Source organism: Homo sapiens, chromosome 4 (assembly GCF_000001405.40).
Source record: "Homo sapiens chromosome 4, GRCh38.p14 Primary Assembly".
Lineage (NCBI taxonomy): Eukaryota > Metazoa > Chordata > Mammalia > Primates > Hominidae > Homo > Homo sapiens.
The window spans coordinates 72,301,377-72,318,932 of record NC_000004.12 but is presented as its reverse complement, the minus strand read 5'-3'; the positions used below and the strand labels follow the sequence as shown (position 1 = coordinate 72,318,932).

Genomic DNA, 17,556 nt, shown 5'->3' with positions numbered 1-17,556 from the left:
ACTACATTCCTAAGTCATGCTTGGTTTACTTTCCTGGCATGAATACAGGTAAAGAGTCTTTTTCTAAATGGAACCAAAACCAAAACCTTAAATACATGTTTTTGCAAATTTGCTGTATGATCTGGGATGAAATTCTAAAGTATATAAGCTAAGACTACTTTTTTTTAAATCAGGACATGATTTTTTTAAGTGAACATTTAACTACATGCAATATTTTTCTTCCTACAGTTCCTATGACTGTCTCCTTGATGACCCTTTTGATCATGATTGGCCTAAACTCCCAGAACTTCCTGGAATCAATTATTCTATGGATGAGCAATGTCGTTTTGATTTTGGTGTTGGCTATAAAATGTGCACCGCGGTATGTTGCTCACAGTTGATGTAGATTTTGCAGCTCGAAATCTATTTGTGTAGCTCCTGCTTGGTGAGATTTACAGACTCACTGGTGCAAGTATAATAATATCTAGCAGTTATTTTGTGTTCATTGTGTTGCTGTGTGCTACAGCTAAATGCTTTAAATATATTGTCTTAATTAATTCTCATGACAGACTAGCAGAGAGCTGATGTACTTTTATTTTACAGAAGATAAAGCCAAGACTTAGAGATTAAGCAACTTGCTTAAGGCACACAGCTGGTAAACAGGGGAACTGGACTTTGAAACCAAGGCTGCCAGGCTCAAATCTTCATGTTCTTTGCATCCCCTGCTTTTTGTGACCTTCAGAGAAGATGACTGTTAAGCCTTAGATTTATTGCTTTTCTTTAGCTTGATGGCAGGATTCCATGTATGTGTGACCATAGGGAAGGATTGTGCTGGTATAGTCTAGTAAAAGAATCATATGGCATACCATGGGGGTCAGGACAGTGGGTCAGGTCCTGGATCTAACGCTTTCTTTTTTTTTTTTTTGAGACGGAGTCTCACTCTGTCGCCCAGGCTGGAGTGCAGTGGTGCAATCTCAGCTCACTGCAACCTCCGCCTCCTGAGTTCAAGCAATTCTCCCGCCTCAGCCTCCCGAGTAGCTGGGATTACAGGCATGCACCACCACCGCCAGCTAATTTTTTTGTATTTTTAGTAGAGACGGGGTTTTACCATATTGGCCAGGCTAGTCTCAAACTCCTTGACCTTGTGATCTGCCCGCCTTGGCCTCCCAAAGTTCTGGGATTACAGGCGTGAGCCACTGTGCCCAGCTGATGCTTTTTAAATATATAAACTTGGGCACCGTATTTAATCTCTCTGGACTACTTTCTCATGTGTAATATGTGGATAATGATAGTATGTATCTGATAAGATTGGTGTGAGGATTAAATTTGATAATATAATTAAAGTGCTTAGCACAAGAAAGGCACGTATATATGTTAAATGGAATCCATTAAAGCCAGTCTTGCCTGTAACTATTCACATTAGATGTATATTTCATTAAATTTCCACATTGGTCTTTAGTAATTCATTAAAAAAAAAAAAAAAAGAAGGCCTTTTTCTATGTTGGAGCAAGCTTTGGGTGTTAGAGCAAGGAACGTAAGTGTTTCATGGGGCTAGAAAGAAATTGATCTGCTGTTTGAAACCTTCCATATACAACCATTTGGTCTGTCTATAAGGTATACACTGTGAGCTCCTAATTACTTGCATTAATGTTTTAAATCAGAGAATTCTAAAGCTTTGGCTTAATGTCATGGAAAAGTGGAATTTCCACATTCGATAATAAGGATTAGAACAAAAAACCCACATCTAAAAATGTGTACTAATAAAAAAATTTCTATGCACATAAGGGTGTATGTAGGTAATTAGCAGTATAGGCAATAGATATGTGGATTAGCTGTTGTTTGATATTTTTAAAAATATAATGATTGGTAAGATGTTTACATTTAGAGAGAAAAAGAGCAAACAAGCAAAGAGAACACACAAATACACATGTTTGCTTATACAAACATTTGGATATTATAATGTGGTGTGTTCAGAAAATAAAAACCATTCTGAAGAGTATGAAAACCAAGACTCTAGTCTTGTGCTGTTGCTGTCTTACTTATAACCATAACTATAGCCCTAACTTGTAACCCATATTTCTCAGCAATGGATTGGTATGAGAATCAAATATATGGAAAATATTTCATAAACTATATGAATGTATTATGATATTTTGTTGTACCTAGAATACTTTATCTTACACAGAAAGTTTGACAATTTTTTTCTGCTTTTAGTCAATTAATTATAAGTATTTATGATTATTATTATTATTATTATTATTTTGAGATAGTGTCTCACTGTTGTCACTCAGGCTGGAGGGTACAGTGGCTTGATCTCGGCTCACTGCAACCTCCACATCCTGGGTTCCAGCGATTCTCCTGCCTCAGCCTCCCAAGTAGCTGGAATTAGAGGCATGCACCAACATGCCTGGCCAATTTTTTTGTGTTTTTAGTAGAGACAGGGTTTCACTATGTTGACCAGGCTGGTCTTGAACTCCTGACCTCAGGTGATCCACCCATCTCAGCCTCCCAAAGTGCTGGGATTACAGGCATGAGCCACTGTGCCCAGCCCTTTTATTATTTATATTCAACTATCTATCTGATACCTACAGAGATAAAGAAAAGACATTTTGATAGCTTGAGAGCTGCCAAACCATTATATTTTCATATTTACAATATTCATGATAATTACTAAGTCTTTAGAAAATTTCAACATTGTCTATTTGAAAAACAAAACATAAAAACAGCAAGCAAAAACCTTAAAAGTCAACCAGATAATCTCAGACAAATCATTGTTTATCATTGTTATTTTAGAAAAGCAGAATAAAAGTATTTTCTACCTGAAATTCTTATGCAGTTTTTTTTCAACATGTCAAAACATTGGCTATTAACTTGAAATAAACACATCCAAGAAACAGGACAGAAGAAACTGTATAGAATATATTTTTGGTGCATGTCATGCTAGCTGAGAGTTCACTGACAATTTGATTATCTATCTTCCAGTTCCGAACCTTTGACCCATGTAAACAGCTGTGGTGTAGCCATCCTGATAATCCCTACTTTTGTAAGACTAAAAAGGGACCTCCACTTGATGGGACTGAATGTGCTGCTGGAAAAGTGAGTATATCTATTTACACAATAAATATGTAAGATATGTTGCATAATTATCATCTTTAAAGGTCTGGAAAATGGTAAACACAGCTGCACTGTCATTTTTATGAAAACCATAGTATGCAAGGCTTTATTAAAGTAATGTACTAAAATAGTGTACTAGTTCCCTGTGGCTAAGGTAACAAATTTTCACAAACTTGTTGGCTTGAAACAATGGATATTTATTCCCTCACAGTTCTAGAGGCCAGAAGTCAAAAATCAATTTCAATGAACTGAAATCAGTGTGTGGGCAGGGCCATTCTCCCTCCAAAGGCTGTAGTGGAGAATCTTTTCTTTGCTTCTCCCAGCATCTGGTGGCCACCCCACATTTCTTGATTTGTGGCTGCACCACTCCAGTTTCTGCTTCTGTGGCCACATTGCGTTTTCCTCATCTTTATGGGTCAAATCTCCTTCTACCCCTCTCTTATAAGGATACATGTAACAGCATTTAGGACCCCATGGATAATCTGGGATAATCTCTCCATTTTAAAATATTTAAGTTAATCACATTTGCAAAGACCCTTTTTCCAAATAAGGTAACATTTACAGGTTCCGGGGATTAAGACTTGATATCTTTGGGACTACCATTCAGCCCACTGTTGGCAGAATAGGAAGAAGCAACTCAGCAGACTATCTGCCCCCTGGTAGTGGGATCTGATTGACTTGCTGGCATGCCATTCCTTGTGAAAGTTGCCCAGAAATAAAGTCATGTGAACTTATACAGAAGATTTGGCCTTGTTCCTTAGGGAAGGATGCCCAGAGGTTTTAAATCTCAAATTGTGTAGTCAGGATTGAATGCTCAGAAATTGGCTGAGTGCCAAGCTATGCTACTCATAAGGGCAAAGATCCCAAAACAAAGGCATGTTAAGAACTCAAGTTGAAAAGCTTTGACTAGTTTAGAAATAAGAAATTGTAGGCAGGACCAAAACCTGGTACAGAAGATTTATATGGCATTTACTTCTTTTAAAGCTCAATTTCAAATGTGTATAAACTGTACTTGTGACAGGGATTATATGCATAATAATAATAAAACCTGTCTTTTTAAGTGTTTGCATTATATTAGGCACTATGCAAAGCACCTTGTATACAATGTTTTGCTTTGGGAAAATTCAATATCATAAACTTCTGACTAAAAACAAGAGTATAACGAGTTAATTCATTTTTGCTTTATAAAAAATTATATAATTAACTTTTTAACATTCAACTTTCTTAAATATATTGGTGTTATATTGAAATTTATAGAAGTTGAGTTTTAACAAATGCTTTTATTGTACGTAGTGTGAAAAAGTAAGTCAAAATGTTAGAGAGGAAAATGGCTAATGTCTCTTGAGCACCATGCCAGGCACTGTAAGCTAGGTGCCTCTATAGTATTAGGGTTCTGGTAGCCCCACTTAATTACTTCTTGGTCAGATGGCCTTCAACTACTTATGAACCTTTCTGGGCCTCAATTTTCCTCATCTAATTGTTGATGATATATGTATGACCCATCTATCTCTCAGAATCATTGTTAATGAAACATTTTAAAAGTTAAATAAAAGTGCTTTGAAAGCTGCATATGTTTTAGACATGTTATATTATTATCTAAACCAAGACATAGTTTATTTTATCATTTTTAAAAAGATCATGTAGCCCTCAAAATATTCTGGTATGATATAGGTAGTGACAGATGAAGGGTAAAATCTTACCAACTGTGCAAGCTGGGTGCTCAAAGAGTTCTTATTGATTATAGTGTTTGATGCTTACTGGTGAATGTATCATTTAAAAACTTGTCTGAGTGAATGTTGTTTTTCCATTTTAATTTTCTACTTGAAAAATACAAGTCTAAATTACCCTTTAATAGGGTATATTAATGACATAATTGCTTTTGGATAATTTTAAATGCATCTCCACCTGGAAGAAAAAAGAGCAGTAAGAAAGCCCTTCAACTAGATGGTTCTTGTATAACAACTTCAGCTTTAGTGTATGCGTGATTTTAATAATTACCTTTTGTCATTTTTCTAAGTGGTGCTATAAGGGTCATTGCATGTGGAAGAATGCTAATCAGCAAAAACAAGATGGCAATTGGGGGTCATGGACTAAATTTGGCTCCTGTTCTCGGACATGTGGAACTGGTGTTCGTTTCAGAACACGCCAGTGCAATAATCCCATGTGAGTATATCCTTGTAACTCTTGTTATTTTTGGAGAGACCAGAAAATACTTCAATATTATGTTATTAGTATTCTGTTTTATAAAGTGCATGTAAAACACAGGGCAGGAAAATAAATTGTTCACAGTTCATAAACCAGTCTGTGTTTTTGATACATCTCCATTTATTAATCTTGTGACAAGCAGTCAGTGATGAAGAAGATCAAACGAAGATTGAATATTTTTAAAGAAGTTGCTGTTCAGGAATATTAAGAAGCTGAACAAGGAAAGTAGGTCACTGTGCCCTAAGGGCGTGGGCATGGGCACTGCGAGATTGACTGCCAGAAACAAGAGAGTGTCCAGGAAAGAGCGGTACCAAGCATACAGACTCTCTCTCTTCAGGGAGTGGAATGTGATTGCTTCAGAGGAAGGCAAAAGAAAGATTGTGATAGAAGGCCAGGTGACTGTTGGGGGAAAGTTATCTATTCATTCACTCAGACTACAATTACTGAATTCCCTATTGTGTGCTCAGCAATCTTTACGAAGAAAAAAACAACTGAATTCTCACATTTAGAGGATTCTGCCTTGTCTAGGGTTTAATATGTGAGCAGCTTTTTCTCTCTGTTTCTGGCAGCAGGATGTCTCTGAGCACGTCTTTTGTAAGACTATCTGATGCCACATACCTGCCTTCCCAGTAAGAGATGATGGTGGTATTAGAAGTAACAAAGACAATAAAAATTAAAAGATCAGCTAAAGTTCATTATGAGCCAGAGTTGTTAGGAGTGCTTTAAATAATGTCAACTCATTTAATCTTCACAGTTTTCCTCAAAGGAAGATACATTATTATTTGCATTTTACATATGAGGGAACCGAGCCATGGAGCGATGACCAAAGTTTCTTTGAGCTGCATCTGTGTGTTTTATACATGGTAGCAAAATATCATTTTATTGATTCAATATACATGCTTTTTTTTTCTTACACACTTTTGCCATGCATTTAAAATATATGATTTGAAAAGCTGATTTAAGTTGAGCTTTGTGTTTTGTTTTATTTTTCCACCCAGCAGGGAGAGAAGGGTGCTTTGGAAAGGGACTGAAATTAGGAAGTATGAGTTCATTCACTTTGTGCTGGCAGCCCAGAAACTTTGGCTTTGTGCCCTCAAGCACTGTGTCTGCAAGCTTCAACTGCTAGACAGAAGCCAAAAGGCCTTTTTAAATGTTGTCTTTTCTTTAGGCCCATCAATGGTGGTCAGGATTGTCCTGGTGTTAATTTTGAGTACCAGCTTTGTAACACAGAAGAATGCCAAAAACACTTTGAGGACTTCAGAGCACAGCAGTGTCAGCAGCGAAACTCCCACTTTGAATACCAGAATACCAAACACCACTGGTTGCCATATGAACATCCTGACCGTGAGTAGCCTCGTGCTCTCCTTCCTGCTGTGTGGATGGTTACTCACAGTTTAAGCTTTGCCAGCACGAACCCCATGGACTCTTGATCCCTATGTGGTAACTTAGGAAACTTGGTGCTTATAGGAGTAAGTTCTCCTGGGTTTCTAAGAATAAGGCTTAAATACCCTTTCTCTAAAGAGGTAAGAATGGTGCAATAGTTCCTGGCAAGCAGCACTATCACCATCAGCGGTGAAAAGACCAGTGGAAAGGAACGCCTGGGAGAGATGTTGGAATTCCTGATTCAACCGAAATCCCTCTACTAGGAAATACTTCTGGAATATTGTGATCTTTCCTTTCTGAACTAGAGAAAAATATAGTTCTTTGAAAATTGAGTCAGGACCAAGAGAAAGATCATAATTTAATAACAAAAGATACCTTATAACCTTTTACTTTTTTACTATAGTTTAAAGATATATTTGGAAATTTTCTTTTAATGTTTCACTTCTTACTTCTGAATTTTTGGTTAAATATGTCCAATGGCAACTTTTTGCCATACTTCTTATTTGAGTGAATGAAAGGAAATAGTTATATGATTACATGCACCACTGGGTTCAGTTCAAATCCATGTTAAAGGAAAGAGGAATACACGTTAAGAATTCAAAGTTGCAATGCATTAAGAAGAAATGCATTGTTTTTATCTATTTTGGTGAAGTGAGTTGCATCCTGTAAGAGGCAAAAACTATGTTAGATGATTGAGTCAAATCACAGACATTCTTTCAGTGCTCTAATATTACGAAAACTAAACTGGTTTTGAATTAAGATTTATTTAAGAGCTATGTTGAAATCTAGGGTTGCCTGGGGCAGTCCCAGTTTATACCTGTTGTTCCTGCTCAGTTATTACTAGAACCCCTTTTCTAGTTTAGATGACAAATTTTATGGTCACCTTAGCTAAAAAAAAAATGTCAAATGTACATACTTTCCTCCTTACTCCTTATTTTATTTGTTTATACGGTATTCCTTTTGTTTTCAGGAAATCACAGTGAAACCTTATATTTAAAAATAAAATAAACTATGCTGTTCAAACATTCCATTTTATGTAAATAGTTAATTTTATCCTCCATCTTATGCAGCCAAGAAAAGATGCCACCTTTACTGTCAGTCCAAGGAGACTGGAGATGTTGCTTACATGAAACAACTGGTGCATGATGGAACGCACTGTTCTTACAAAGATCCATATAGCATATGTGTGCGAGGAGAGTGTGTGGTAAGTTCAAATTGCTTCCCCAAAGGCTTTCTACGTTATCTACGTTTACTGTCATTCATCTGCACATTTTTAATTTTTTAAACTATTTTATCTTTGAAATCACATTATAGTAAGTGTCTATGAATAGTTCAATAGCTAAAATAAATTTGAGAGACATTGTACTTTCTCAAATCAAACTTTGGTCACTGGCAGAATCAAGGTTTAAATAATTTTCCTAATTTCCAGCCAAATGCCTTTTCTGAGTAACTCTGAGGCCTCTAGGTTGGGAATACAAATTGGTAATAATGCATTTGCTTCGGGTATTTTAGTAGCCATCTGCTATTAAAATACAAGGTCTTTTTAAAAATAATCAGTGCTAAGTATATTTAATCTTTTGTTGTAAAGATAATAAGACATTTCTTTCTCACCTTCCAATCAATTCTAAGTTTAAAGGCTAAATTTCACATTAGAACAAAAGTAGTAGAGAAGCAAACATGTTTTTTTGCTCCATTTAATCTCAGGTTAAAAATGCATTTTATTTCTTGTGTTCATAGTTAAATCGATATGAAATTATCTTATTAACTGAAACACTGCTCCTAACATATATTTCCTTTATACTTCATCAAAACTGAAGTGCTGTATTAATGAGTCTAAAGTAATTGAGCTTACATTTTCCTGAAAGCATAGTATGTGTTGTTCAGCTTTTACCTGCCGCAGTACCTAGTACATTAAACGTATGTGTTGTCTTTATTTTCCCTGCCACCTTTCATCCCATACTTTTGAGTGCAGTAGTGTATTGTGTATCATTATTCTACAGTGATTTACATTAAGAACATGCCTTGGTTCAGAAAACCTTCAATATTTTCCTGTTTCAAGGGAAAATGTAAATTCTTCCTGGTATTCAAGTCTTCTGCAGTCTATTCAATGCAGATTTTTCACTGTTCTTTCCTTATCATGAAACACTAACCTTCCATTGGTTTAAATATGGGTTTAGATATTGACCTCTGCACCCACTTTCCATGAACATACTTCTCTGGCTTTGTTGTAACTCATCTGCTTTCCTGAAATGCTTTTCTATTCTGTGTTTCTTTGGCCCCTGTGAAAATCTTCACCACCCTGGTGAAGTTTTGTCTCACATCATAACCATCTTTTAAAGATTGCACTAATATACAACTCACTATATTATCCATCATCATAAATGTGAGAGCAGCAAGGGAAAAGCACTGTCTTGTTGTTTTCTTGTCTCCTCAGCATCAGCTACATCTGTTTTCATTACATGTGTGTTTGATGACTATGACAATTTAAAATGGTGTAAATATTTCATTGGACTGGAGGAAATATATTCTTTATTACTTAGGGTACAAGTCATTTGGTTTCCCATTATTTTTTTTAAAAAACTGAGGTATTAAAAATTATGACTACAGTGGCAGTTTGCTATAAATTGGCTGACTGTGGGCCATGACTGAACAAAGGGTTCATCATTCTCTGGGATGTTGACCACTACTGGGCACACTAAAATTAGCCACATTTGACATCTTCTCTCTCCAGAAAGTGGGCTGTGATAAAGAAATTGGTTCTAATAAGGTTGAGGATAAGTGTGGTGTCTGTGGAGGAGATAATTCCCACTGCCGAACCGTGAAGGGGACATTTACCAGAACTCCCAGGAAGCTTGGTAAGATGAGGTCTCTCATGGATTTAGTATTCTTCTCTGTGATTTGTACTTTTTGAGGCTTCTTCCTTTAGAAATGCAGCATTTTCTCTATAAACATAATCAAAATTTAGCTGCTGATTTATTGTTATTCAGATTACCTTTTAAGGAACTTAAAAAAAAAAAAGAAATCACTTTGAATGAATTCATACTCCCTAGCGTCAATGATGAAAAAAATACATACTAAATTTAGAAAAGAAACAAGTAAAATCAGTATCAGTTATACTAGCTAGCTAAAATCTGTGTTTTATTTTGCATTTTTAATAAAATGCAGATTGAATTATTAGAATTGGTGTTTATTTTGAATTCTTGTTGCATATAAATTATTGATCAGGAGTTTAAAAATTACAAAATTTTAGATACAACTTTTAAAATATCACATTAGTTTTACTTATTTTAAAAGTGAACAATTTTATCCTGTTTATAAATCTAGGAATCTTGGATCTGTATTTCACATAATTTTTAAAAATTTACTTTAAACAAAATTGAGGTACAACCAAAAACTAACCTGAGATGTAATTGCTCATCTCTATAAATGTTTATGCTTGTTACATAGTCAATAACTTGAACTTAGACATACACTGAAGGTTCAAAGGTGGAACAAAAAGCTGTCTTCATGCATCAAATAATAGGCAAAATTATCCATAGTTTAATAATATTCATTGGAATTTTCATAAAAGATTTGTATACAGACATTTATTACTGAATAATTTCTTGAGTTTGTATCAGATACTATTCAGTTATTCAATAAGGATTTATTTGGCAAATGTTTCTGGGAATTCAGCACTTAAAGATAAATTTGATGTGGTGTTTGCTCAAGAAGATTTTGATGTCTTCCAAAGAGCCGTTGGTATCTTATAAAATCATGAAAGTAAAACAAAAACAAAGAAATATGGTTTACGTTAAGTAAATTGTCATTGGGGTAACTTTTCCTTTTATAAAAAAGTTAGTCTTCATCCAAATGAAATAATTCTCTTAGTTTTTGTATTTTTTATTCCCATTATACCCCTGATACCTAACTCAATTACTAGGAGACTATATTCTAATGTTTTTCTTGTTACTGATGTCTTTGCTATTCCTGTGTTATAAATTACCATGTTTTGTACTTTGAAAATTGTTAAAAAGCAAATATTGCTATTTCTGACTGATTGCATTATTAAAGCAAAGAGAAATATAATTATATACGTGTATTATATTTCAGTGGAGTCAAATGTAATTTTCTTCATCTTGCTGTGAAATAATATACTGTGCTTTCTTGGAGTTACATTTTATTCTTTTCTTTTGGATGTAAAATAATTCATTTTGTTTTATTTCCACAGTGAATAATGTAAAGAAAAGGTTTTGCCATGTTCATTCATTGTATATTATGTATAATATAAGGTATTGGTACTGTTTTTCAGAGAGTTCAAACATCATGCTAAACTTGCAAATCAAGGCCAAAAGAACATTAGAAAATTTTCATCTGTCATACCAATTCAAACTGTTCAAAGATAATCTAACTTCCATATCTTTGCACTAATATTGTCATCATAGTGATTTAATAGACTAATTAACCTTTTCCAACAGGAAAACATTTAAGCAAGAGGTGCCATAAAGAATTGAAGTTGCTGGAAAATGAAATCTGCAAGTATTCAACTTCAAATCATCTACTTAGTCTTACTTTCATGCTTAGTCTTACTTTCATTGACTATTAACAGTTTATTGGCATTATCTATTACAAATGCATTGTGACTTCAACACATAAACTTACAGAACATATTTTATAACTTGCCTAATAAAATATGTGACTTATGGGATAGTCAATGAAACAACAAGACTTTGATAAACATGAACCCTCCACTAATTAAAGACATTCTATTTAAGGGAAGACAAGAGGCGCTTTCACTTTACCCAAAGGAGCTCGTAATATTTCTCTTGCTGAAACAAGAGAAGCTAAAAACGTACTGGGTAAGTTGTAGCAAACTGCAGAAAGATGGGCATCCATAAATGGCATCAAGCTGTTTTGCTGTACTTGGCATCTTAAGCATGTTCCTTTTAGCCACTGTGTACTCAGGCAAACATGGTACATTTCATGTGTTAGACTTTACCCCAGGCTAAAGTGCTGAACACCCTGATCCCAAAAGGACCACTTTATTTAGTTAGGACACTAATAAATATTGTGAAAAACTTAGGTAAATCTATTCATAGGTGTATATTATTATACATATACAAATGACAAAAACACTTGTTTTTTCTTATTTCATCAATAATTGTGGATTGATAACTGGATTTCTGTTAATATTCTCCATAGAATATGTATTGGATGTTTCATAATGTATTGAAGGTGTAGGTTACATAATCATTTTATATTCATTTATTTGTATGATAATGAGATGTATAACATCTGTTCTAATTGACCTGACTATTGTCAGGTCATAATATTTATGATTTATGGTCATAATCTTAATTCTAAATGATTGTAAGATAATTTTTAGGACATGTGATAGTATCAACATAGTATGTGATATATGACATTTACAGTAATAGGAATGATATATGATTTTAAAACACAAAGCAACCTATTAAGCATATTGATTTTCTTATTTCTGGCTTAGGAGGTTTTGAGGTTAGGGTGCATATAAAGGCAATGCATAACACATCTTGCACACATTTTCCAACTAAGTGGTTTAAAATCCATGTTGTCGATTTGGTTAAAATAGTCCCATCATAAAACTTGCCTAAAGCTTTAAAATTAATACTGATCACAAGAAAAATGAAAGCACTGATTTTTCTGTTGTAACTCCTTTAGAATAAAGAAGGCTTTAAATATGAAAATATTTTAATAATTAGAAGTTTAGCTGTCTATACTTCCCTCTTAGACTTTTAAAATAACATGTAAGCAGATAACATATCCCAAAAAGTTTACAACTTAAGTGAACTTTCACTAAAAATTGACTCCACTTCAAAAGGATGGTTTAGAAAACTAGAATCACACAGAGGGACACAGGAAAGTATAGTATTTGCCTGAATTGTTGTTCACATCATTTGAAGGTCAACGCAAGATAAGTGACTAATACGTTGGTAACAAGATTAACTTTTTTCCCTCTTTAATAAAAAAAAAAGTTGCCTCTAATTTCATGTTGGATGTCACAAAAGCTACCAATGCTTTGAAGTTAATTTCCGAAACTGCTTCTTTAAATTTATGGATGCCCTCTTCTGCACGCAGAAGCAGTAAGAATGTAGTGCTCAACTAACCATGGTTGTTGCTTTTGTTTTCTTCTTTGCTTCCTACAATATTTACTACACATGCAAAGGGTACCTTAAGATGTTTGATATACCCCCTGGGGCTAGACATGTGTTAATCCAAGAAGACGAGGCTTCTCCTCATATTCTTGGTAAGTGTTTCTGTCTGCTGTCTCTGCTTTAACATGCACTGAAACATTGAAATGTCAAAGAAATCCTAAATATAGATATGTATATATGTACACATATATGTGCATACGTATATGTACATACATGTGCATACGTATATGTACGTACATGTGCATACGTATATGTGCGTACATGTGCATGATGTGCATGCGTATATGTGCGTACATGTGCATGTGTATATGTGTGTACATGTGCATATGTATATGTACATACATGTGCATACGTATATGTAAGAATCAAAATAATATATAAATGCATTAATTGAATGTTATGTAGGTTTTTTTTGGTCATTTCTCCCAACTATGCTTACTTTAAAACAAGAAACATAAAAAAAGTAGAGCTTTAATTTTGTATAGAAACTGGGGTTGGTTCCTAACTATATGAGGGAAAAATCATTTGACAAGCTTATATTTCTTATACACTTTTTGCTCTAAGGAATAAGAAAATAAATATGTTAATAAAATCCACTAAATCAAGGAATATCAGAAAAATTCATCATACTTATGTTTACAAATAAGTTCTGATATTTTGATTGATCCAATACTGTACGTATCCTTATTTTTATTGTATTTCACATTCTTTGAAAAGCAACCACAGGTGAATTTTACTAATCTAATCTTAAATTATTCTAATATCTGACATGTGTCAGGTTTTTGACTGGCACATGCAGATCCATTTGCCACGGAGAGCTGATTATAATTTCCACAAGAAGATTTTTTTTTCTTTTATGAGACGATTACATGGAAATGTCACTTTAAAGAGGTTTACATTTAAATTGTATAGACAAGTGTAAACATAACTTACTTATTCCTTGGCCTATAAGAACACTAAGATAATTTCTGAAGCTAAGACATCACGTATCAACTCCATGAAAATTTGTAGCAAATTGTTTTATTTCAGTTGTGACTTTAAAAAGTGCATTGTTTTATGGTGTTTCATAGAATTTTTAAACACATTTAATTTATATTCACTACTAAATGTCGTAATAGTCTAGCAGTCAGCTATAGTTCTCTCTCAAGCATTTAAAATCCCTTATTTTTCATCCTAGAATTCATATTAATGTCCTTGGAAAAAATAGACCAGTTTAAAGCCCAAGAGGAATAAATACATTTAATTAAAATTACTCATGTTTTTCACACATTTTCAATAATTGTAGTAACATGAAATTTTGCTTTCTAATGTAACATTATATGCTGATAAACAAATCTAAAATTTAAAATCCCATTCATTATTTTTTACTCATTAAGCCAGCATTTTATTTCATTGTATAATATGTAATAAATATATACTACATTAAGAATTCCATTAGCAGTAAGCAGCTTTTTCTAACTATATGAGTAGGTGATATGGCTCTGGAATTTTACAATCATGAGAACTAAATTGTTGCCTGAAAAATTACTTCAACTATGTTGGATGACTATAAATATTTTGACCAACTTTAAAAAATATATGCAATAATTAACCGTTACATTATATGCTATCCTAGCATAAATTGTTTCTATTAATTATTGAAAAGGTAGCTATCATTTTCAAGATATTCCCAGTTTTCTAAGGAAATATATAGGATAAATGATTTAGAAACTATTAACCTCTTTGACGATGTTTTCAAATGGGAATATTTGCAAACATTATTTTTGCCTATTTAACCATCTTGCTGTATTTTTGACTAGTTAGGAATGCTTCTTGAGAGTTTTGAATGCCTAATCAAGACAATGGAAATAATATCAGAACTAACACCCATTTTGATTCCTTGCTACTAATAAAGAAACATGGTCATTGATTTGTAGAAAGGATATACTTGCTGTGAATCTTCAGCACTTAATATGATAAAATAAAATGTATGCTGGTTACTCATTTTTCTCCCTTTAGCTATTAAGAACCAGGCTACAGGCCATTATATTTTAAATGGCAAAGGGGAGGAAGCCAAGTCGCGGACCTTCATAGATCTTGGTGTGGAGTGGGATTATAACATTGAAGATGACATTGAAAGTCTTCACACCGATGGACCTTTACATGATCCTGTTATTGTTTTGGTATGTGGCATTATGGGCTCATGGTATAGTTAGCTCAGCTTACTTTATAATTAATTTATCTGAAAACACTTTTACCTTGAACATTAAGTGTACTTTGAACTTTGAAACATGAGTTGCTTTTTAAAATAATTCCATTTATCTTTCCCCCCACTCTTTGTGCAATATTTTCATGTAATTTATTATATAGACATTATAAACTGAATAATGCAGCATTCTGATTTTTGACTTAAATAATCAGTTATCATCTTTTAAAGACAACACTAAAAGTAGATTTTTGTATTTACCCACATATTTACCATTTTGTATGCTTTTCATTCTACTTTGTACATCTGACGTTCCATCTAGTATCATTTACCTTCAATATAAAGATCTTCAGCATTTCTTGTGGTGTGGGTGTATTGGCAAGTAATTCTCTCATCTGTCAATGATCTGAAAATATCTTTATTTCACCCTCATTTTTGAAGGATATCTTTACTAGATATAGAATTTGAGTTGCTAGTTTTTTGGTTTTTTATTCCCTGTTTTCCCTTCTTTCAGCACTGTGTTTTTATGATCTTGCAGCGAGTTCCAAGGGTTTGGGGGCTGATCAAAGAAAAATATATGGCCACAAGGTGGCAGTAGCACACACACACTTTATTTGGGCTAGGCCTCAGCTGGTTTGCAAGTGGGGCCACTACCTAGAGGAGAGAAGGGCAAGGGAACTTCTGAGAAAGAGGGGAATCTGAGGTGGTTTATGTGCCTAGGTGGTGTCATTCAGCAGCACAGAAGAGAGTCTGTGGGTCAGAGGGCTCCAAGGGAGGCAGCTGCGTGAGGTCCTTATAGCCAGAAGGTCTTATTCATATCTAGCAGATGTTGGATGTAGTTTCCTAGAGCTGTGCAAAGCAAGCAGTCCCTGAATGGCTAAAACTCCCTCATTTGGGCAGCGTTAAAAACAACTGGATGTATAAAAGTTTGTGTTTGGCATCAGAGGGCTTTTGAGCTAACAGATCTCAGCCTCAGCCTGCTGTGAAGAAAGAACCTAGGGGCCAATATACAGGAGCCCTCTTTTACTCATTTATACAGCACTTGCCTTCCAGAATCCATCATTTATGAAGAGAAGCCTCATTTATATTGCTGCACTGCATGTAATGTGTCAGTTTTCTCTGGCTGCTTTTTAAGATTTTTCTCTTCATCTTTTTGTTTTGTCTTGTTGGTTTAGCAGTTTGACTGTGATATACTCAGTTTACCGTGTTCTTTGTATGTCTTATGCTTGGGGTTCACTGAGAATCTTGGCTTTGTAGGTTGATGTTTTTGACCAAATTTGGGTAAATTTCCCATGATGTGTTCTAGTTAGTTGTTTTTCCCAAACCCTCACCCCCACCCCATCTTTCTCTTCTTCACTCCTAGGACTCACTTAAATCAGTTGAAATTGTTCTACAAGTCTCAGGCTCTGTTCATCCTTTATAATCTTTTTTAAAATACATTTTTCAGATCGGATTATTCCTTTTGAGCTCTAAGTCACTATTTCTCTTAGGTGATCTCCAATCTGTCCTTGAGCCTATCCAGTAAATTTTTCGTATCCGATGGTGCACTTTTCTTTTATAGAATTTCCATTTGGTTCTTTTTTTTTTTTTATTTCCATTTTTCGGCTGAATTTTTCATAATGTTCACTCATTACATCTAAGTTACCCTTTAAGTTCTGGGTCTTCACATTGTCAATTTTTTTTATGGATCACATTTCCTGCTTCTTTTTTTCTTGTACACTCGACATTTTGGAAGATAAATTGTAAGGTGTCTGGTTTTGTTCTGGCAGGCGGTTAAGTTATTGTCAGATCATTCTGATCCTTTAAGGCCTAGTTTTATTCTTCCTTACAGCTAGTCTATTTCAGTGTTGTCCTTCTTCCCATGGTGTGGCCTTTCATGGTGCCAGGCTCAGCCCTGCCTGGTTTCTGGTATCACTGTCCCACCCCCAGCACTCCCACTGTGGACTGCCTGGTGTCTTGGCTTGAGCATACACAGACCAACCCTCAGTCATGGACCCATGTAGATTTCTAGGTGATCTCTCTAAGCAGGCCCCTCTTTAGTGGCCGGCTCTGAAAGTTCCAAACTCTAATCTAGCTCCAGGTCCAGAACCTGGCCCTTGTCAGGAATAAGATCTGGCTTGTTTCTCTTCTTACAAGGATTGGTGTCCTTTGTCATGACATACATTGCCAAACAAAAAAAAAAAGTTTCTGCAAATATTTTGCCCAGTTTTATAGCTTTTAATATCAAGACGGCAACTCCATTACTCCCTCATGGATGAAAGCAGAAGACAGCTACTTGATTTGAAATTTATTGTTAGTTTCTGTTTTATACAGAATTTTTATTTATTGGATTTCCTATAAAATATTATACTTAAGTCAAATTGCTCCACTCAATTTTTAGGGTTTTTCTTCTCTGAAAATTAGTTCCATTTTGAAATATCTGTTCAAATCTTTTGCCCATTGTTAAAGTTGTTATATTTTCTTTTTGTTGAGTTTCGAGAGCTCTTTGTATATTCAAGTCCTCTGTGAAATACATGA

The 17,556-nt window shown here is 34.4% G+C and overlaps 1 protein-coding gene across 3 annotated transcripts in view; it reads left to right on the top strand.

The window, feature by feature from the left end:
• The window catches only part of ADAMTS3 (ADAM metallopeptidase with thrombospondin type 1 motif 3), a 288,253-nt gene that overhangs the window by 250,289 nt on the left and 20,408 nt on the right, over positions 1-17,556 (top strand). For all 3 annotated transcript variants that reach the window (NM_014243.3, XM_011532422.4, XM_011532421.2), the window contains exons 10-17: positions 229-361; positions 2,962-3,075; positions 5,111-5,256; positions 6,467-6,642; positions 7,752-7,885; positions 9,413-9,536; positions 12,866-12,946; positions 14,853-15,016. In NM_014243.3, coding sequence (NP_055058.2) covers positions 229-361; positions 2,962-3,075; positions 5,111-5,256; positions 6,467-6,642; positions 7,752-7,885; positions 9,413-9,536; positions 12,866-12,946; positions 14,853-15,016 — 1,072 coding nt within the window. The remainder of the gene's footprint in view (positions 1-228; positions 362-2,961; positions 3,076-5,110; positions 5,257-6,466; positions 6,643-7,751; positions 7,886-9,412; positions 9,537-12,865; positions 12,947-14,852; positions 15,017-17,556) is intronic.